The sequence below is a fragment of the Homo sapiens genome, chromosome 1 (assembly GCF_000001405.40).
Source record: "Homo sapiens chromosome 1, GRCh38.p14 Primary Assembly".
In the NCBI taxonomy this organism is placed as follows: domain Eukaryota; kingdom Metazoa; phylum Chordata; class Mammalia; order Primates; family Hominidae; genus Homo; species Homo sapiens.
In genome coordinates this window covers 178,222,383-178,246,976 of record NC_000001.11, presented here as the reverse complement: position 1 = coordinate 178,246,976, position 24,594 = coordinate 178,222,383, and the positions used below count along the sequence as shown (strand labels likewise).

General features: G+C 35.5%; 1 protein-coding gene across 8 annotated transcripts in view; it reads right to left on the bottom strand.

Annotated features, from left to right (window-relative positions):
• RASAL2 (RAS protein activator like 2) overlaps positions 1-24,594 on the bottom strand; it is a 384,747-nt gene that overhangs the window by 231,874 nt on the left and 128,279 nt on the right. For 2 of the 8 annotated variants that reach the window (XM_017002850.2, XM_017002851.2), the window contains exon 1: positions 13,097-18,415. The exons of 4 other annotated variants lie outside the window; for them this stretch is intronic. In XM_017002850.2, coding sequence (XP_016858339.1) covers positions 13,097-13,685 — 589 coding nt within the window. In that variant the 5' untranslated portion in view covers positions 13,686-18,415. Of the gene's footprint in view, positions 1-13,096; positions 18,417-24,594 lie in introns of those variants that run through there. 2 more of the 8 variants (XM_017002849.2, XM_017002852.2) reach the window with 2 other exon arrangements.

Genomic DNA, 24,594 nt, shown 5'->3' with positions numbered 1-24,594 from the left:
AAAATACTGGCAAACTGATTCAGCAGCACATCGAAAAGCTTATCCACCACAATCAAGGCAGCTTCATCCCTGTGATGAGAGGCTGGTTCAACATATGCAAATCAATAAACGTAATTCATCACATAAACAGAGCCAATGACAAAAACCATATGATTATCTCAATAGATGCAGAAAAAGCTTTTGATAAAATTCAAAACCCCTTCATGCTAAAAACTCTCAATAAACTAGGTATTGATGGAACATATCTCAAAATAATAAGAGCTATTTATGACAAACCCACAGCCAATATCATACTGAATGGGCAAAAACTGGAAGCATTCCCTTTGAAAACAAGCACAAGACAAGGATGCCCTCTCTCACCACGCCGATTCAACATAGTGTTGGAAGTTCTGGCCAGAGCATCAGGCAAGAGAAAGAAATAAAGGGTATTCAAATAGGAAGAGAGGAAGTCAAATTGTCTCTGTTTGCAGACGACATGATTGTATATTTAGAAAATCCCATCGTCTCAGCCCCAAAACTCCTTAAGCTGATAAACAACTTCACCAAATTCTCAGGATACAAAATCAATGTGCAAAAATCACAAGTATTCCTACACACCAATAATAGACAAGCAGAGAGTCAAATCCTGAATGAACTCCCATTCACAATTGCTACAAAGAAAGTAAAATACCTAGGAATACAACTTACAAGGGATGTGAAGGACCTCTTCGAGGAGAACTACAAACCACTGCTCAAGGAAATAAGGGAGGACAAAAACAAATGGAAAAAAATTCCATGCTCATGGATAGGAAGAATCAATATCGTGAAAATGACCATACTGCCCAAAGTAATTTATAAATTCAATGCTATTCCTATCAAGTTACCACTGACTTTCTTCACAGAACTAGAAAAAATGACTTTAAATTTCATATGGAACCAAACAAGAGCCTGTATAGCCAAGACAATCCTAAGCAAAAAGAACAAAGCTGGAGGCATCATGCTACCCGACTTCAAACTATACTACAAGGCTACAGTAACCAAACACCATGGTAGTGGTACCAAAACAGATATATAGTCCAATGCAACAGAACAGAGGTGTCAGAAATAACACCACACATCTACAACCATCTGATCTTTGACAAACCTGACCAAAAAAAGCAATGGGGAAAGGATTCCGTATTTTACAAATGGTGCTGGGAAAACTGGCTAGCCGTATGCAGAAAACAGAAACTGGACCCCTTCCTTGCACCTCACACAAAAATTAACTCAAGATGGATTAAATAATTAAATGTAAAACCTAAAACCGTAAAAACCCTAGAAGAAAACCTAGGCAATATCATTCAGGACATAGGCAAAGACTTCATGACTAAAACACCAAAAGCAACTGCAACAAAAGCCAAAACTGACAAATGGGATCTAATTAAACTAAAGAGCTTCTGCTCAGCAAAAGAAACTATCATCAGAGTGAATAGGCAACCTACAGAACGGGAGAAAATTTTTGTAATCTACCCATCTGACAAAGAACTGATACCCAGAATCTACAAGGAACTTAAACAAATTTACAAGAAAAAAACAACCCCATCAAAAAGTGGGTGAAGGATATGAACAGACACTTCTCAAAAGAAGACATTTATGGAGCTGACAAACATATGAAAAAAAGCTCATCATCACTGGTCATTAGAGAAATGCAAATTACAACCACAATGAAATACCATCTCATGCCAGTTAGAATGGTGATCATTAAAAAGTCTGGAAACAACAGATGCTGGCGAGGATGCGGAGAAATAGGAACGCTTTTACACTGTTGGTGGCAGTGTAAATTAGTTCAGCCATTGTGGACGACAGTGTGGCGATTCCTCAAGGATCTAGAACCAGAAATACCATTTGAACCAGCAATCCCATTACTGGGTATATACCCAAAGGATTATAAATCATTCTACTATAAAGACATATGCACATATATGTTTATTGCAGCACTATTTACAATAGCAAAAACTTGGAACCAACCCAAATGCCCATCAATGATAGACTGGATAAAGAAAACGTGGCACATATACACCATGGAATACTAAGCAGCCATGAAAAAGAACGAGTTCATGTCCTTTGGAGGGACACGGATGAAGTTGGAAACCATCACCCTCAGCAAACTAACACAGGAACAGAAAACCAAACACTGCATGTTCTCACTCATAAGTGGGAGTTGAACAATGCAAACACATGGACATAGGGAGGGGATCATCACACACCGGGGCCTGTTGGGGGATGAGGGGAAAGGGGAAGGAGAGCATTAGGACAAATATCTAACGCATGTGGGGCTTAAAACATAGATGACAGGTTGATAGGTGCAGCAAACCACCATGGCACATGTATACCTATGTAACAAACCTGCACATTAAGCACATATATCCCAGAACTTAAAGTACAATAAAAATAAAACAAAATTTTAAAGAAGAAATAGGCTGGGCACAGTGGCTCACGCCTGTAATCCCAGCACTTTGGGAGGCCGAGGCGGGTGGATTACAAGGTCAGGAGTTCAAGACCAGCCTGACCAATATGGTGAAACCCCATCTCTACTAAAAATACAAAAATTAGCCGGGCGTGGTGGCACGCGCCTGTAGTCCCAGGTACTTGGGAAGCTGAGGTAGGAGAATCACTTGAACCCGAGAGGCAGAGGTTGCAGTGAGCCAAGATCGCACCACTGCAGTCCAGCCTGGGTGACAGAGCGAGACTCCTTCTCAAAAAGAAAAAAAAAATGAAATAAAAGTTTACCAAGTACAAAAATATTCCTTAGTGAACTGACCCCTTATACAACTTAATACTATCCCCACTTGAATACTATCCATCCCAGTACCTTTTTGATCATTGCTGAATACTGTATAAGTGCAAACTGACTGAAGGGTTAAATTGCTAATCTTGCAAAAAGATAAAATTTCACAGAGCCAATGAAAGTGACGTTGGAAAAGTGCTCAGATTCCATGTAAAAAGCACTAATAAGTGAGGAATAGAAGAGTTATACCATTCAACAACTGCAGATATTTGACATGGATGATGACAAGCTAGGCACTCTAAATGAAAATGATATGAATAACAAAAGATTAAGAAAAAGTCTTGGGCCAGACAAGATGGTGTAGACTCGTTTCTCCCAACTGCTCCTCACTAAATATGACAAAATTTTGAAATAATACAAAAGACAGTCATAGAAGAACTCTGTAAAAAGAAAAATGGCTGATTTGCTAGGGGCCCTAGGACAAGGAGGACCAAAATAGTGGCAGGACATCTGAGGACCCTGCCTCCCAATCCATTAAAAGAAGGCAACCCAGGCCTGACCTCAAACCTAGGAACAGAAAATACCTGGGGCTATTTATTTTGTTGTTGTCATTTTTTTTTTTTTTTTTGATAACAACAAGCAAGCCTAGCATCACTAGCAAGGGGTAATGATGGGGAGGCCAACAGACAATAAGCAGCCAGGGAAAGCATTCTTCTTCCCCTCCAGATCTGGGACTCCCCTTCCCCAGTGAGAGATTCAGGTAGCCAGGTGGATAACAGAAAGGGGGATGCACCACAACCAGGGCTCAGGCTGGGAAGTGTTCCTCATTTTCACAGGCTGGGAGGTCCTGCCAAAACCCAAGAAGCCTCATTTTCCCCAATGGGCCAGAGATTCCCTTCTGCCTCCTAGAGGCACCAGATGGCCTATCCTGGGGAAGCTCATTCCCTGCTTTGGGCAGCACCAGCAGGGATCGGTAGGAACTCCAGCTAAACTAAGCAGACAAAAATAGTACTGCAAAATCTCTGAAAATTAAATTGTCACTGGAAGCACAGCTCACTACTGTAGGCTTGGAGCTGCATGCTAAACTTGAGTAGGGCAACTCCCTGCTAAAATAAAAGATCTAAATAAAACCCAGAGTTCCCTAGCATAATAACCAAAATGTTCAAGATTCAATAAATTTTTAAAAAATCAACACACCAAGAACCAGGAAAATCTCAACTTGAATGAAAAAAGACAATCAACTGAGAAAAATCAGACATTAAAATTATCTGAGAAGTTTAAATTGCATGTCATAAAATGCTTCAGAATCAATTAGAAATTATCTGGAAACAAATTAAGAAAAAAACCTTATAAAAGAAATAGAAGTTACAGAGCTACTCAGGAGACTGAGGTGTGAGGATCGCTTGAGCCTGGAAGGTCAAGGCTGCAGTGAGCTTTGATGGCACCACTCACTCCAGCCTGGGTGGCAGAGTAAGGTCCTGTCTCAAACATAAATAAATAAGATCCAACATCTGTATCACCAGAGATCTAGGAGAGAAGAAAGTAGAGCTAAAAGGGTATTCAAAGAAATAATGGTGAAAACTTCCTAAATTTGGCAAAAGACGTAAACCTACAGATTCAAGAATGTAAGTGGGCCAGGCATTGGTGGCTCACACTTATAATCCCATCACAGCACTTTAAGAAGCCGAGGGTGGAGGACTGCTTGAGCCCAGGAGTGGGGAGAGAGAGAGACAAGAGAGAGAGATGAAAGAGAGAGAGAGAGAGAGAGAGAGAGAGAGAGAGAGAGAGAGAGAGAGAGAGAGAGAGAATGAATTATAAAAATTGTCATTAGCAGACCTATGCATAAAGAATGGCTAAAGGGAGTTCTTCAAAGAGAAAAGATATGTTAAAAGATATGCTAAAATATTAAGAGTATCAGGAAGGAAGCAGAAATATGGGAACGTGTAAGTATCCTCATGAGTTTTATAAACCATATATACTAATTGAAGCAATAATTAGAACACCATCCAATATTCAAAGACAATGATACTTAAAAGTGGGGAAGGCAGAGGGTGTAAATGGAGAGTTTACTACCTGACATTTACTCAGAGTAGTAAAATGTTGATAAAAATAAACTGTGATGTCACATATGAATACTGTAATACCTATAGCAACCACTAAGAAAACTACCCAAAGAGATACACTCAAAAATACTATAAATAAATCAAGAAACAAACCTGAGGGTGAAATAAAGCAGTTCTCCATCCTTGTGCTCTGACCAGTGCTCCCTGCATGAGCAAAAAATTGAATTGAAGAGAGAGCTAGAGGTAAACACCACCATAGCAAGAGAAGACAGAGCCTTCAGATTGAAAAAGCTTTCCAGACTAAGCAACAGCCATGGCCTCTGCATACACTTCTTTGCATGCATATATGTACGTATTTGTGGAAGGGGGAGAATTAATCTGTACTATTATTTCCTGCATTTAACAGCCAAATGAAGAGTAAGTTTGTCCAAGATAATATACTGATAAGTTGGTATGTCATCTGCACACCTTTGCACACCCTTCTGAGTGCAATACTTTGGTCATCCATTTCTGAGAGAGGAAGGTGAAGTATTATGTAAATGTTATTTAATCCTGATGCTCATGATCAAGGCTCAATGTATTCTAGTTAAATTAAAGATGGATAGAGATATCAGATCAGTGGAGGATTCAAGTTTGATTCTCAGACTGACTCTCCATTTCCAAATCCACAGCTGCCTTAAAAGATGAGAAAAGAGCTTACCCATGGAAATTTAATATGTACCCCTAAAGTATTTCTCCTCACACATAAAGTGAACTTATTACTTTCTCCACAATATACTAGCAACACACGTGAAAGAGATTGAAAATTACAAAGAACCAAAAGAAACATATAGTACTTTTGTAGCTTATTTCCTAACACAGCTTGGAGATCTTTCCATATCTGTATATAAACAGCTCTTCATTCTTTCATTCTTTCATACAGTGACTCAACATTCTGTGTACTTATCTCAAGTATATGAATCACATCAATAATACTCATTTAGGGTATTTAAGTTGTAATTATATAGCACACCAGAAAGAAGCATAAATGTCAAAACCTAAATATTCAAGTGTATTCATAAATTCATCCTATTTTAAAATTTTATTTATAAATCATTTTCCTCAAAATTCCACCTCATACTTTATATTCTGCACTCTTATTTAAAAACCACACTGGTCAATTAGAACAATGTGACAGTAGGATACACCAGAGGGCTTATGTTTCTAATCAATAAAAAAGTCATGAATAAAAATAAAAATATGTATAAATAAAATAATTATAATAGAAATAAAAAGGAACCTTAAAAACTAACAAAATCTTCCAATAATTTTCCTAAAAAACATTATAATAAAATAATTCTCCAAAGTAAAATGTGAAGTGAAGGATATTGATTTGCAGTCACACAATTTTGTTCAGGGAAAAATACCACAAAAAGTTGTTAATAATTAGCTTAATAACTTTATTTTAATAACTAGTATATAGTTACAATTATAATGTAAATTTTGTTTAAAAGACTAAAAAGTTTATTTTCATAAATTTTCATTTAAGATAAATTCCCAATATCCTCTCCAGCAACACATGTATACATTATTTACTATGAAAATTTGACACTTGCTTTAAATAATTTAAAGTGGTCTTTTTTCAATGCCATTTGCTTTTGGATAAAACATCCCTTTATATTCTTGTATTTAAAATAAAGTCTAAGGCTAAGAAAAAAAAACTGGATAAAAATAAGAAAATGGACCTATTGTGTTTAAATGAATGTTCTTTATTGGTAAAGAAATACAATAAACACTAACATCTGAAGTGATAGGGTTTACAGGAAAGTATTAAGTTCCTTTTGGCTAAACAAAATGATACATCTAGAATTCTATGAACAGGAAAGCATTATTCAAAGAAATACTGTCTACATCTAGGGACTAATAACAATATCTGCGGTATCACTAACAGTCCAATAAATTGAAATAATAGGCTAGAGAGGATTAGTAAGCCAGCAACTCCATAATTTCCACTAGCAACTGACCTTGTTCACTGTGGACAACATATGTTCATAAAACACTGTGCTTGAAAAGCAATGCCCTAATGTTACATCACAGGGCAAAAAGTAATTACAAAAGTTTATATTAAAGACAAAATAATCAAGTATAAAAATCTGTGTAAAGGCAAATATTTTATGTTTTATTATAGGCTAAGGGATAGCAAGGCACCACAATGTTAAAAAATTTATAAAATAAAAATTTTAAATAAAAATACCATTCATCTGTTTTTAATAAGCTAGGAAAATACCTTTATTACCTTATTTCAGGGGCAGAACACCTCCATCCAGCTCAAGCTTTAAGAACCATGGTTTAGGATGCCATCAAGAGGATAGAGGTAAATAAAACTTAAATACTAGAGTATCAGTGCCTAACGTGTCCACATATTAGAATCATCACACAATCTTAAACGTATTCCTTACTCTTAGATTCTGGCATGTACTACTGTGATATATGGATGGTGTCCATGAGGTAGTGTCCTCAAAAGTCCCTTGGATAGAGAGTAATGTCTAACCACTTTGAACTAAAAATGTTTATTATAAGTTGCTTAAAATACCACACTACTACTTGGAAACAGTAATCATGCCTTTCTCAAAGAAAGATTTATTAAATAATAGAATCACTAAGTACCAGTGACAACTATCATTATTTTACACATATTGTGAGTGATTTATTGCATATTATTCTGCCAGTTGTATAACATCTTCACTAGTATTTACAATATATCTACAGTATGTAAACCATTGCACTAAACATACAACAGGCATGGACTCTGACTTTCCTTTTAAAAAAGCTTGGATCTGGGAAGAAAACCCACAAATGCTGACAGTAACTCTTATGTTCTAACCACCAGATACCACTTTACTTCAGAACAACAAACCACACACATAGCTTTCAAAATACTCTTTAGTTTGACCAAGGTTATGGTTATATACTATGCTAAATTATATGAATCAATATCCCTTAAGATTCAAACTATTTTGACATTTTGGTGACAAAATCTAAAAACATAGATAGAATAGGGTTTCTACTTTGTAAAGGTGAATAAGTAATCATCCTTAAATCCAGAAATTAGAGGCAAAATTTTTTTAAGACATTTCAATGAAAATTCCACATGAGAATGACAGGAAAAATACCTGTGGTTAACTGACTCAAGCTCAGTCACTAAGAACCTGTGTACTCATAAGGATACGGTTTCATAATCATAGATCCAGAGTCATTACTCATCTTACTCTTCTCTTTGCTTCCTCACAAAGACAAACTGGCCTTGAGTGTGAGAAACCAAATAAAAACTTGCCTGAGGCAGATAAATCATTCCAGGATGACAATCATCCTGGAAATGCAGACAAATCATACTGTTCATTGTAATCAAGCTACCAGTTGAAAACTCTAGATCACATTGAACTATATTTATATTTTGAGCAGAGGTGTGGGAAATTACTAACTACAGAAGGTATTTGACTAAGACTAAAATTTTATTTACATATATATATAGTGATTGCTAATAGGTACTTGAGGTGATCAAAGTGTGTGTGTGTGTGTGTATATACACACATACACACAGAAATATTTTACTGAATGAATACACGGATATAAAACAATAATAAAGTAGCAGCACCATTACATGTTCAGATAACAAATGGAAAATTTAATGTGACTTAAGGTCACAAAACACCAAATCATTATTCTGGAGGCAGAATACACTGTTTGCAAAATACAAGGGTAAATGCCCAGGCGAAATGAAAACATATGTTCACGTAAAAATTTGTTCATGAATGTTCATAGTAGCATAATTAATAATAGCACAAATGTGGAAACAACCCAAATGTCCACCAAATGATGAATGTATAAATGAAATATAGTATATCCATACAATAGAAAGTCAGTGATAAAAAGAAAGTACTGCTGCTATAACATGGAGGAGCCATGAAACCATTATGCTAAGTAAAAGAAGCTAGACACAAAATGTCACATATTGTAAAATTCCATTTATATAGCATCTATAAGCAAATCTATAGAGACAGTATATTACTGATTGCCTAGGTCTGATGGATGGGACCTTTAAGGGTAAACAGGAATTGCCTGCTAATAGGTATTTGGTGTAATGAAAATGTTCTAAAATTGTGGTGTGCTTGTACAGCTTTGTAAAAATACTAAAAATAAACTGTACAAAAGAATATTATGATTCCACTTATATGAGGTACTTGGGAATCGAATTCATAGAGACAGAAAGTAGAATGGTGGTTACCAGGGCCTAGGGTGAGGCAAGAATGGGGAGTTAGTGTTTAATGGGTACAGAGTTTCAGTATGTGAAGATAAAATAGTCTGGAGATGGATGATGGTGATGGTTGAACAACAATGTGAAGCTACTTATGCCACTGAACTGTACACCTAAAAATGGTTAAAGTGGTAAATTTTTTGGTATGTGCATGCTATCACAATAAAAAAGTAATTGAATTGTGTGTATTAAGTAGATGAAATACGTTATGTAAGTTATATCTCAAAAAAGCTGTTAAACAAAAATAAATAAGGTGTGTATGCAAGTATATGTAAAAGTAAGAATATTAAAGTTACCACCACATTGGTAAACTCCAAGTCTATACTCGTAAACCACTGGCTCTGTTAACAGACACTGGTTAGACTGGAATAAGATGTCCAGATGTGTTGAGGCTGGGATGCTAGTCTCAACATTCTCATTACTCTCCCACTATATCCCTAGCCTGTGTGATTTCACCCACTCCTGTGGCTTCAATGTCCATGGGCTGATGGCTTCCAAATGTATATCCTCATATGGGAACTAACCTCTGCTGCTAAACTCCTGCCCCTTTATTCCGCAATACTGCTTGAAGCGATGCTCTCAAGTTCCTGAAAAACTCTCAAACATCATGTGTTCAAAGTGGGCCCCCAAATGGAGGAGCACAGAATCATAAGAGACCTAGGACCCACAACTTACTAGCTGTGTAGTCTTGGAGAAGTAACTGAAACTTTCTGAGGCTCTAATTCCTTACTTTTAAAATGAGAATAACACTCCCTCGCAGGATTATTCGGAGGATTAAACCAGATAAAATGCATTTAAAGTACTCAGGGAGGCTGGGCGCGCTGGCTCACACCTGTAATTCCAGCATTTTCGGAGGCTGAGGCGGGTGGATCACCTGAGATCAGAAGTTCGAGACCAGCCTGACCAACATGGCGAAACCCCATCTCTACTAAAAATACAAAAATTAGCTGGGCTTGGTGCTGTGCACCCGTAATCCCAGCTACTCAGGAGGCTGAGGCAGGAGAACCACTTGAACCCGGGAGGCGGAGGTTGCAGTGAGCCGAGATCGCACCACTGGCCTCCAGCCTGGGTGACAGAGCAAGACTCTGTTTCAAAAAAAAAAAAAAAAAAAAAAAAAGTAGTGTCCAATATAAAATATCACAGATTAAGTTTTGCTCATAAGTAAAAGCTAGAGAAGCCTAGTGTTTTGTGCAAGTTATACCCTAAAGTTTTAAACAGTGAAATAAACTACCAATCATAATGCTTAAAGCAAACCCTTTCTGTTTTTTGTTTTCCTTTGTTTTTTAAGACTTCCTTGGAAAACAATGAGCAACTGAAAACCAAGGAATTACTAATCTTTATAGGCTTGAGAAGCAAAGAAATGACCCAGTTGCCACATGGATAAAAAATAACACTTGGTTGACTAGTAAAAATTTGGGGTGATTATTAGACATTCTACAGGTTTTTAGTGGCTAGTCTAAGCTCTTAAAATCCAGAATCTCTGATTTTTGGAAACCAAGTGTAACTGCAAATTCTAAAGCTGAGAGACAGGTACATGGTTATTACAGTATCATACCTCTACGAGGACCATCATAGTATATACTTATGAAGAGATAAATTCTATTATAGGTTGGGGTAGCTTAGCCCTCAAGATTATTAGGCATAATCTAAAAAACCAACAACTTTATAGCTGATGTAACAATTAGCTACCATGACCACACTGGGTCAGATCCTTTGCACCTAATATCTGAACAAAAGAGACTATCTTCTGGTTATCTGAAGGTTTGGTAATCAATAGCTTTCCAATTCCAGTATCTGGAAAATGAGCATTAAAAAAATACTGGTAGGCAGGAGAAAGTAGGATAACAACTAGATAATCTTTTTTGGAAAATTATTTCCAAATAATTTGGATTTTAAATAAATAAATTGCCTCAGAAACTTTATTCATTAGGATACTAGCTCTCGCCTATAAATTCACTTAATTTGCTAACTCAGTGAATTCAACTTTAATTACTTTCTCTTAGATAAGAAAATCAAACTAGTCAGTTATTTGGTAGTCTTTTGCTTGTGGGAAATAAGGGATGAAGAAAGGCTCACAACTGCAAAAGGTTAGAAAACCACTGATGTAGACACTAGGCCAGAAAGAAGTTACTGCCAAAAGAGAAAAGGAGACCTCTGCACAGGCACTTGATCCGGTCTTTATAATAAACAGTACATTTCAGTCTTAAGAGCTTAATCCCCCCTCACTTGCACATACATACCCATACACACACACAGACACACACACACACACACGCACACGAAGCACTTAGGAGATAGCGGAGTAACTGTTTTATAAATGTTGTTATGTTACTGGTAGGACACTATGCACTGTTTTTTCGTTACTGGAATCGAAATTCCTTGAAATAGCACCTTAAACTTAAACTCTGTATGTGCTTCCATATACATATTATTACATTTTATATTTCCTTAAGTAGACCATATATGTGTAAAATGCAGGGACACCTTCTCACAGCACCTCACACATTGTAGACAGTCAAAAATAGCTTGGTATACTTGCTAAAAACTGAAAGTGCACTATCAAAGTCCAAAAATGATTATAAATGCAAAAATTTAAAGTATTGCTTCTTTTATCAAATGCACACATGCTAACCATTGAGAGGAACTGATTGTAAGATTTTAAACTCTTAATTTCCTTTGACATTCTTTTACTTTGATCACCTTATGATCACCTGGCAAGGAAACAGACATACAAGTATCCAAGAAACTGAAACAACCAAGTCTTTCAAAAATTTTAATGGAATGTTAATAGAGGCACATCAAGGAGGAAGATTTTCCTCTAGGTAATTATCTATTTGCCAAGAGTAAGGAGAAAATATATATGTTTAAGAGTATCACTAAAATTCACTGAGCAAAGGAACATCTAGGGAGGACAGGGTTTATAGAAAATACTTAATTTTTGGCATACATTAATTTGGAAAATTACTTCAGTTTTCACTGAAATGATCTCATTAGCATTCTTCAACTTTATTTTAAAATAAATTAAATTATATTTCAATAACAAAATTCTTCAACAATTCTCACAGTTTTAGAAAGGGTTTAAACCTTTGATGATACGTTCAATCTCCTAATAATGAGAGGCTGAAATTTTCTTAATGGTAAGAGCTTCTCAAAAAATGATCTCAGCTGGTCATGAAGATACTACCAAGCTTCCAGTGCTAAGGTTTTTTAAAAAACATAGGCCCCAAGTCATAACCAAAATTGTTCACCAGATAAGGTCAACCATTTTTAAGGCAATCAGTTAAAAAAATTAAGCACTGTGGGCTTTTTGGCTTTAACAATGCTATAATCAATATGAAATAATTTTTAAATTTTAAAAAGTCCCAAATAAGATTTTTAAAAATTTGACAATTCTATTGTCTTAAATGAATCAAACACAAATTTCTATTTTGTCATCTAAACAAATATTCAAGATTTGCATGCTTGGCTTCCATATTCAAATGGAGTATTTTATGATACAAGCAAATTAAAATCCCAACTTTTTAAGAGCTATCAGTGTAATTCTGCTCTACATTTCTCACTAATAACATTAATTTAAAAATAATGTTTATGAAGAGATAACAGTAGAAATACATTTTAAATTCTCAACAGTCATGACAAATTACTTGAATATTTTCCCCTCCAAATTGCACTTAACCTGGAAAAGTAGATCAGTGGAGACAAATGAGCATTAAAAATAATTTTTTCACATGTGCTCCAAAATTGAGTTCAAGAATTAACAACATAAAAATATTCCTTAATTAACCAAATCCATTCACTTCTTGCTATTACTATAAGTCATTAAAAGGTTTCTGAAGCAGTGATGATCACTTTTTTAAAATTGTGCTAATTAAATATATTTGTTTTATAATGAGAAAATGAAATGTTTCACCTGATTATAAAACAAATAATTAAAATTTCAACAGTAACTAAATCTGAGCCATCCCTTTTTTCCCCTTATTCATTGCAATATACCTTCTCTTACTGGCTCATTGGTTGATTCTCCTTTTAGATTCAGCATCCTGGAGAAGCCATTGGAAAGAGTAGAGAAAATGCCACGGATGAAATATCCCTGCTGCTCAGACTCCACTGACCCAAGTGAAGTTGGCCACAGTCTAACAAATGGGATACTGCAGCGGGGTTCTGGTTCTGAAACAGATCTGGTGAATGGTGCTCGAAGTGATCGGCTGTTGACCAGGTGTGGCTTCTCTGTTGATGTTCCAAGGACCTCATCAGCAGAGGAAGAAGCATTATTACTAACCATCTTTGGCAGGATGACCTTTTGTTGTTGTCGTTCAACCAGGTCTCCTTTATTACTCTGCAATCTCTCCCTTTTGTTCCCTTTCCACCTAAAACTCGGATGTCTCTGCCACCGATAAGCACCCAGTGGCTTTCCCAGATTGGAAACAGCAGAATCATTTTTCTTCCTCTTGCTTTTCACTGGACCACACCATGGATAACTCTTTAAACTTGTTCCTATCTCTGAATCTGCATAAGCAGGTTCTGACAAAGATCTTCGATAGCTTGGAGGACAAGGTGATGTTTGTTTCTTAAAGATGCTCATCTTCCCTGACTCCAGTCTTTAACAGTCTCTCTAAACTTTAAGATTCCTCTACTCTGCAGTCTTTGCAGTTGAACCACACATGTCTGTGCAGTCCAAAACATTTGACTGCTTAAGCAGCTTTCTTTGTGTGGCTTTGAACCACAGCAGATGTTGCTGCTTAAGAGCTGGTGTCATGTTATTACGCCATTTTCCAAGATCTCAAAAACTTCAGCAGCACCTAAAAACCTCTTGCCTGAAGCAAAGTATCATCAGAGTAGAGACAAAGTCAAGATTTCCAAAGGATCACCTCACTTCCTGCAGTAGGTTACATTTCTGTAATAGGCTTTCGGGAAATGATTTTTTTAAGTGAAATAAAAACAACAACAACCCACCAACACCTTTATGGACCAGTAGTAGTTAAGTGTTCACCATGCAAATGATAGCGAGTTAAAAACAGATTGTGAAGAAAATCAAATTACTCAAGCTGATATTGATACTTTCCAGAAGAAGAAAAAAAACCTTGCCTAGTCTTGGAGTGACAACTCTTCAGAAGAGTTTTGATGGCCTGCATTTCAGAAGTTTAATTTCAAGCAAATCAATGCTATTTATACTACATCTCTCAAAGTTAATATTGTTTTTCAACCAATAGGTAAAATTCAAACTGGTACTGTAAGAGGAGGAAAAAAGCCAAAAGAAAGCCAACACCATTTTTAGTGTAAATATATTACACTATGAAGAATTTAAAAAGCATAAATAGGAAGAAAAAGAGCAGAGGCAGAGGGTATTTGCTATAAACTACAGCAAAGGAAAAGGAAAATCTTGAGGCAAGATCTTGTGGCAACTGGAACATAGGAATGTACATACTTAAAAAATTTCTGGAAGAAGAAAGTTTGCTATATAAATCCAATTGGGATAAGTTGGCTGGAAAAATATTCCCTATCTGTTTAACCAAAGAAATTCCTTTATTCCTCTTTGTGCTCCTTACAACTTTAAAAAAGAGCTGACTACTTAAAATTTGTTAAAGCAAGTACCTTATACTGAACCAAGATCATGAATGCCAAGTTTTTGCTGGTTAAGTTCTTTTCAACTGCCTGCTCATAAACCCCTGAAAATAGGGGTTTCAAATGGAAAGCCTCACAGACTTCAGACTACCAATAAAACAGATATAACAGTGCAATCAAAGTCACTCTGCAAGTTGTTTTAAAAATGATTTCATCTGGCAAACTAAAAAAACTATCCACTTATTTGTAGAATGTTTTACAATGAAAAACAGGTCTCACACTAAGTCTTTTTCTTATTATGGTCGAAATCGTAACGAAAACCAACATACCTATTCCTTTAAACATATTACAATGTTCTATTTATCACTATTATCATCAACCAATAACTGCATTTTGATTTGTTTATATAGTCTCTAAATCTACATATTTGTATATTAAAGAAATGAAGTATTTGGCTTTCTCAAAAACATATCAAATTAGAGAATCTTACAATTGTACATTTTCCCCTTATTTAAAAGAAAACCTAGAATGGTGAATTTGCACAAGGAAAGGAACAATAAATATCAAGTTCTAATCTCTATTTATGGCACATCACATCATTCACAAAAAATAATCTGTGAGGAGAAAAAAAGACCTAAATGTAGAGTATAAAATTATAAAGCTTGTAAAAAAAAACTGTGAGTGAGTATTTTTGTGACCTGAGGGTAGGCAAAGATTTCTTAGGACACAGAAAGCAAAACTAATACAGGAAAATGGTAATAAGTATGATTTCATAAATTTAACAACTTCTGTTCAATAGAAGACATCATTAGGAAAATCAACATGCAAGCCACAAAATGAGAAAAAATATTCACAATACAAACATTTCAAATAATTTATACCAGAATATACAAAGAACTTCTATACCTTACTGGTAAAAAGAAAAACCAATTTTTTAAAAAGTCAGTAAGAGTTGAACAAACTCTTCACGCACACAAAAAAATATTAAAGGCCAACAAGCATATGAAAAAAGAATTAATCTTGTTACAGTAGGTATCTAGTCAGACATGAACAGGACAGGAGAGGGCCCACCCCACCAGGAATGTCAGGTGACCACCAGGCATGTCAGGTGACCACCAGGTGATGGTCAGGCAGTTGTTAACTGTCTCTCTAAAATAGTAATTGGTTGCAGCCAGCACCAGGGAAAGGCAGTTTCCCAACAGATAGAAACACATGAAACTGGTGATCAGCAGCTTCCCGATAAGATCTCAGGAACTGGGTGAATGGGCTCAAGCATGCACACAAAAGGCAAAATGGCAGAGTTTAACTGGTATATGACCTTCTGAGGACATTCCACCGGTAAAGAGAAGAACGCCTCAGGTAAGCATGTGTACAACTCCAGTAAACACACTGCGCACACTCACTTCCCAAGTGCTAGCAGGCCCCTGTGCATGCGGGCAGCCTACCCCAAGGGAAGAATCAAAGGGAAAGGGACACAAGACCCCAGAAGCATGCCAACATATAAAACCCTAAGTCCATGATCGAATGGAGACATCTGTCCTCCAAGATGTCCACTTGGCCCTCTTCCAAGTGTATTTTACTTCCTTTTCATTGTTGCTCTAAAGCTTTTTAATAAACTTTCACTCCTGCTCTAAAACTTGCCTCGATCTCCTCTTCTGCCTTATGCCCCTAAATTCTTTCTTCTGAGGAGGCAAGAATTAAGGTTGCTGCAGGCCTGTATGGGTGCACCACCAGTAACTCAGATACCCACCACTGATAACAATCTCATTAGTAATTGGGGAAATGCAAATTAAAGCCATAATGAGATATTACTCACATCCACTAGAATGGCTCACACTTAAAAGGCTGATAAAACCACATGCTGGTGAGGATGTAGAGTAACCAGAACTCTCATGATTGGTAATGGGAGCACAAAATGGTACAATTTCTATGGAACATGTTTGCAGTTTTTTAAAAAAAGTTAAGCATACATCTGCCCTATGAACCAGCAATTCCACTTACAGGTATTTACTCAAGAGAAATTAAAAATATATATACTTGTACCTAAATGTTCACAGCAGCTTTATTTATAATAGTCATAAAATAAAACGACCCAAATGTACATCACAAAAGAATGTCTAAATACATTGTGGTGTTTTCATACAATGGAATACTACTCAGCCATAAAAAGAATGAACTACTCATTCACAAAACAATGAGGATGCATCTCACAGATATTATGCCAAAAAAAGACCCTAGACACTAGAGTATACACTGTATGATTCTATTTATACAAAGTTCTAAACCAAACCAAACTAATCTATAATAGAAAAAAAATATCAGAAAAGCAGTTCTCAGTGGTAGATGGCATTATTATTAACCAGAAAGGAGAACCAGGAAGCTTTTGGTGATGGAAACTTTCTAAGCTTTGATAGGGATCTGGATTATGAGGGTTTAAGTATTTTCAAAACTCATCCAAATGTTCCCTTAAGGTTTACCATTTCATCATAATTAGATTTTACCTTGAAAACTAAAAGCAACACTGAACTCTATCTAGTTAGCAGATTTGCTTAATCAGTGTTATAGATTAGCCAGTCAGAAACCACTTTCTGTGTATTATTGGCTTGAGGAAAGGAGTAAATACATTGAAGAGAATGAATGAATCAATCAATCAATGAGCAAGTGACTAAATGGCAATACTGGAACAAACTGACATTATTTGCCTCCTGATATGATTGATGAACAGTGAGGGATACAACATCATTTGTGTGTCATTCCTGCAAAAAAAATGCATAGCCTACATCTAATCATGAGCAAAATCAGACTGGTACCCCCTCCCAATAAAAAAAAAAAAAGTTCTACAAAATAACCATCCTCCTTGCTTCAAAAATGTCAGGATCAGGACAAAGAAAGATCATGGAATTGTTCAGTTTCAAAGAGACTAATGACAGACAATTTAAAGCAATGCATGATTTTGGATTGTATCATGAACTGGGGAAAAACAGTTATGAAAGACATTATTGGGACAACTGACAAATTCTGAATGTGGATTATGGGTTAGGCCATTATCTAATTACAAAAATATTAAAATTTTCATTTTAATAATTTTACTATGGTTATGTAAGAGAAAGTTATCATATTCTTAAGGTACTCACAGAAGGATTTAGGGATAGAGGGTCACAATGTTTCCAACTTATTCTCAAATGACTCAGGAAAAACTGCATATAAAGGTAGATAAAATATGATAAAGCAAATGGGGCAAACTGTACACAGTTGTTGAATCTAAGTAAAGGATTTATGGGAGTTTATTGTACTATTGCAAATTTCTATAGGTTTGAAATCACATTAAAATAAAACAATACGCAAGTAAATATTTTTAAATTTTACAACCTCTTCCTTTGAGTCTATAATATAGATTTTTATAATTAATACTGTAATGTTCCCTCTTTGAGAGTATCTTTTGAGTAGTATAACAAAATATCTTGCTTCATAGATTTTATGAGGGAGAGAAGTTAATCAAGATCACCCTATTAAGATATCTTAGTGGAAAATTAAATTAGAGCTATAATTTTGAGAAAAGTTGCAAACTGGGAATAGAATTTGAGTCCTGAAATCCACATGGTAAAATTCAGAGACTCCTTGTTAAATGAGTCTTATACCAAGAGGTAAGGTTAAAGGTAACAAGGATTACGGTATTTTGTAAACCATCAACACAATTGTTTCGAAAAACTACCAAAATTCTTTTTTTCGTTTCCCCGGGACGGAGTCTCGCTCTGTTACCCAGGAGTGCAGTGGCACGCTTGGCTCATTGCAACCTCCGCCTCCCCAGTTCAAGCAATTCTCTGCCCCAGCCTCCCAAGTAGCTGGGGTTACAGGCACCCGCCACCACACCCGGCTAATTTTTTTTGTATTTTAAGTAGAGACGGGGTTTCACCATCTTGGCCAGGCTAGTCTTGAACTCCTGAACTCGTGAACCACCTGCCTCGGCGTCCTAAAGTGCTGGGATTACAGGCATAAGCCACCGCACCCGGCCCACAATTTTTTTTACCATAAGCTTCCCTATTTAATTCAGAAATATGGAGATGGAAAATATTAAATAACAGAAACAAAATCAAATACAATTAGAAGGCAGAAAGAACCATGGACTGAGGAAGACACACTACACAAGCAAGAATCAAAGAAATAAAGGTGAAGACTCAGATCTGTCACGGCTAGCTAAAATTTAATTTGACAAGTGCTCAAAATTATGTTCTATTATTAACGAAAGCCTAATATCACTCACGTTAGTTATTTCTCTAAGCTTTATCCTTAATCTAACTTTAAAACAATAACTTGACACTTCATTTTCTGAATTTTCTCAAATATATATAATGAATTTAGGAATTTTAAAGAAAATATTCACAGGATGTATAATCTCTTAGAAACAATGATACTAGAACCACTGGATTACTACATTCATTAAGAATTCTTTCTACTATAAAAGTTGGCTGCTCATTGAAATGTCAGAACAAGAACATTTCTGCCACTTCCAACAGCAACTACTTACTTTTACATTTTTTAAACAACAATTTATAACATTTAAAGCACAGCTTTAAGAATCATTCTGGTTGCTATGTCAAAATGACATTTAAATTCTCTGAATAAATATGCAATTACTTAAATTCACAGAATCATATTTCAAATAGTTATTGAGCACCTACCTATCAGGCACTATATTAGGACTAGAGGAACAACAACAACAACAACAAAAAACAACCAGACACTGTCCCTGTCTTCCTGGAACTTCCCATTATCAGGAAAGGCTTACATAAGGAAGGGGAAAATGTAAGGTGTTAGGGAAGTGTGTAGTAAGGGGATTTTTACAAAGTATAAAGTGTAAAGGATGGAGGCAATGTCTTTTGAGAGTCTTATGATCTACAGTCAATTCTGCCATAATGTAACATGAATTCTTTAAAATTCCCTGCACTAAGCAAAACTGCACCCTAAAACCACAGGGCTTACAGGGAAGATGGAGTTAGGGGAATAACATTCAGAAACTTAGACAACGACATGTAAGACAAGACGCTAAACTGTAGCACCATTTTAAATGGCTAAGAAACACATAAATACAAAAATAAATAGGGTGTTTTTTTTTTTTAAACTGGAAGTTTGCTTGTGAAAGTAGGCATCAGAATGGTTGCAGCTTTTGATTTTTTCTGAGGTGGTAGAAGGAGGGTTACCTGAAGTGTACAGCAAGTAATGCTGTAACACCACAGGTGGGCAGGTATGGCTTTAACATGTGGAGAACTCAGGCAGCTGGTAGTTGAGATGTATGTATTTTGAGTATTCTTATGTAGCTTGCTTCAGCTGGATACAGTTGTGGGGTTTTGTTTGTTTGTTTGTCTGTTTGTTTTCTGAGACAGTCTCATTCTGTCACCTAGGCTGGAGTGCAGTGGCATGATCTTGGCTCACTGCAACCTCCACCTCCCGGGTTCAAGTGATTCTCCTGCCTCAACCTCCCGAATAGCTGGGATTACAGGCACATGCCACCACACCTGGCTAGTTTTTGTATTTTTGTAGGGACGGGCCATGTTGGCCAGGCTGGTCTTGAACTCCTGGCCTCAGGTGATCTGCCTGCCTCGGCCGCCCAAAATGCTGGGATTACAGGTGTGAGCCACCGTGTCCAGCCCTGGATACAGTTTTCTGTATTCAGTTAGTAATTCTTACAGACAAATGGCATATAAGTCAACACAAAATTCACATAATGCTTAAATTTTTCCTTAATATCAATTGTGTAGTACAAATCTGTGTTTTCAAAGCAAGTATTACAACACAACCGTTTTTTCTCTTCTCTTCCACATAGCTGGTGTGGTAAAAACCAGGTAAAAATCAACAAAAGACTCTACCATTGCAAGGCACAATAAAAACAGGGAAAATGGCTTTTATCCTTAGTAAATTCAGCTCTTTAGTTCAAACATTTGTATGTTTTTCTTTTCTTCCTCTTCTCTTAATCAGAACAACAAGAAGCAAAGGACCAAACTCATGATGTGGGCACAAAGAAACATGCCCCCCCAAAAAACAATGCAACAAATCTGCTTCCAGACCAGTGCTTCTCACATTATAATGTGTGAATGAATTACTATACTAGGAGATCATATTAAGATGCAGATTTCAATTTACTACTCCGCCTGAGATTCCACATTTCTAAGCTCCTAGATGATAACTATGCTACTGGTCCACGGACCGAATTGTGAATAACAAGCTGTAGATAGATCTTAAACTAAAAGAACTAAGTTCTCAAGGTTCCTCTGTAATTCAGTCAAGTTCACCAAAAGAGAAAACTGTATCAAGATTTCGGGGCAAAATGAGAACATTTGCCTGAAATGTTCTGTGAGATTGTAGAGACCTACGCAGTGCTCATGATAGTGTGCTAAGAATCAAAGATACAGTAATCCTAGCCAAACCTCCTTGAAGACAAAGATTATCTATAGCACATAAAGAAAGCACAATAAAAAATTCAACAATCTTTTGCACTTACATTCTTATGAGTTAGCATATACATATATACAGGATATATATATATATATATGTATGTACAGTATGAAAGGAAAGGAGGCAAATGCTAATGACCATCAATAGAAAAGTGACTAAATAAATCATAGTACATATATATACATACAAAAAGAAACACACATATATTTATACATGCTACAAAGACACACATGCTTTTATAACAGTGATTACTTGTGAGGAGTATAGCTAAGAAATCACCTTAGACCTCTGGTTTTAAGTTTTAACCATGGCTATATACTACATTCATAACAGTGACAAGAAAAAAATGTAAGAGATAAATGTATATGGAAAGGAATCCAAGAGACAAGATAGAAAGGTAAAATATACCATAAAAAGTAGACCATGATCCTACTTTTATTTAAAATAATGATTAATATATCAGTATGTACACGGTAGAATCATATGCATCAAGAAAAAATGTGTTGTTATTTTCTTTCAGGGTAGAATTTCATTTTTTATATTATTAATTTCTATCATATATCAAATTTTATAAGTATGTGTTTTCATTCCTTTTGAAAGCAGAAAAGTTAAGTAAAAATATATATATTTAAAATCCACAGCAAAAATAAAAGCCTTAACACTAATCTACAGAATCATAATTATAGAACAGAGAACTAGACAAGTCATCACAGACCAACTTCACTAAGTCTCTCATATTATAAATAATCCAACAAAGCCAGACAAAAGGGACCTGTCCCTTAGAAGTTAACAGCAAAAATAAAAAAACACAAGTATATCCTAATTTCCAGTTCAGGATTCCATGACCTGCTTAAATTAGCATTTTCTAAACTATGATCCACAGAACATAATTGAGAAATTCAGGCTTAAAGAGCATAGTTGTGGCACTAACTCTTAGATATTCTAGGATTAGTGTAAATGCTAAAAGTCTTTTAAAAAGTTTAAAATAGGATATCAGTTTCTCATTAAAATGTGTTTATTAGGGAAACAAGTAGAGATGAAAAGGGAAAACATGAGCTTTCTCAGCTTAGACATAGTCTGTTGTCACTTCCTATTTTATGACACAACTTTTCTATACGAATATTCTATTTTATTATATGTATCCCACTTGCTCTTTTGTATTAGAATACATGATAGATGCTACGGTTAACAAAGAGAGTTCTAGAATTCTGTTACTAGAACAAGTGACTACATAGCTCTTAGATCAACTCATAAAAATCTTTAAAAATAGAACTCATTTATATTAACCAGAAGATGACATCTTTCAAAAGTACAAAGTCCTTGTTTATACAAAGCTAAATAATTAATAACAAAACATCCTCTTCCCATTTCCTATCACTGGAGCACATATGCTTCCCAATGAAACACTTCCTGCAGTGAAAACTACCTTTCTTCTAAGTATCAGAAGTGAAAGGCACACCTGACATGTACACAACCGCTTCTCATTTAAGAGACAAAGATACGTCTAGAAGGGCCAAATAAAGATTTTTTAAGTGTTGGAATAAAAGATTTATTTAAATAAGAAATCATTTTTAAACAAAAACAAAAACTCCTAAAACCATAATGAACACCTTTAAATATTAAAAAAAAAAAAAAAATTCTAGTTTTCCCCTAACCTCTGATCACACTTCTGACTGGTTCAATCAGAGGTTCAATATTTTCTATCTAGTCTCTAAGTGTTGGGAGACTTTGAAAGCTGGATCCTTGACATCCTCTGTCCATATTCTCACCATGCATATCATCATTCACAATTAACACATCTACTTATATCTCCAGTTCATACTTTGTCTTCTTTGAGCAACATACTCATATATTCAATTTAACACTTAATAGCTATCTCAAGTTCAAAACGTATAAAACCTACACTATGATCTTTCTTTTAAAATCTGGTCTTATTCTAGTGTTCCTTATCCTAATAAATGGGACCACATTCATCCAGCTATACAAGCCCCAAACCTTAGTTATCACCATCTCTCACCATTCAATATCCAATATCTAATGAATCTTACTCATTTCCCCTCCTGAGTATTATCCAACCTATCTACTTCTCACCATTCTCCCCTAAATGAATCTACCATCATCTCTCACCTGGATTACAAGAGCCTCCTAAATTTATCAACCTACATCTACTATGACCACCAAAAAACATTTTTCCTACTGTAGTCAGAATAATCTTTTCAAAATACAAATTTACCTCATCTTGTCTGGAACTATTCAATGGTTTCCCACTTACAATCAAGACAAAATTCTTGATTTTGGTATGAGCCTACTCATACCCACTCTACCCTTGTAAGGCTCCCTCATAAAGACATACTTGAATTCTTTCAGTTCTTCACACCTGTCACTCTCCTTCCCACCACAGGGCTCTTGCTCATCCTGTTCTCTGCAACTGGATGGTATACGATCTTCCTTCCATCATTATCATGCTTCAGATTTCAGTTCAAGTGTCACTTCCTCAGGGAAGTCTTTCCTGACCCCTCTGACCAGGTCAAATCTCCCTATTACAGGCCTTTACAGCCCAATGCATCTCTCCATCACAGCTGTGGCGTTGTAATTGTATATTTCCTCGTGAAATTATCAATCAATGCCTGTTTTACCCACTAGGCTATAACATCCATGTTTGTTTTGATTCTCCATAGTGTCTCAAGTGCTTAGCAAATTGTAAGCACACAATAAATATTTGTTGAATTAATTAATAAAAAGAGAGAGATCTAAAATAAAACTACCTAACTTCAGACTAGTAATGAGAAAGTCAGTAAGCACCTATTTGAGTTTAACATTATCTCTGATACCATGAAGATTACATCAAAATACAGATCATGGGTGAGGAAGCAGTTAAATGCACTACAGGGAGTCATTTTCTCTATACCAAGTAATTTTTTGTTTCTTAAAGGATATGGACAGAATATTAAAAAAGGAAAAAAGAATAATGTGAAACAGGAGGATAAGGAGAAGGCAAGAAATACTACTAAAATTGTTAAAGCAATTTTCTTCCCAGAAATGCCAATTTAGTAGATGTACAAACTATTATCTGGCCTGTTCAAGTTTTTTATAATTATTATTTTTAACATTAGCATCACAATTTAGGGAAATTTTTAAAGCATAAAGAGATATCCACAAGCTCTTAACAAGCTTTATATGTTCTTTAATGAATATATACTTAGAAAATAAATATTCTCATAACCTGAAACAAATATCAACATTGGACATCTGATAAATAATCAGGCAATCGGTTCTAAGATAGAACTTTAAGCATCAAAAATTGAGGATTCCAGAGAGAGATTAGGAATATTTTCTTATTATAAGATACATGCAGTATCTGTAAAATGATACAGTGTTATTTGAAACTAGACTTGAATTAATCGTAAATGTATATTGCAAACTCAAAAGCAAACAATTTAAAAAGTTAAAAAAAGATAACTGACATGCTAAGAAACAAA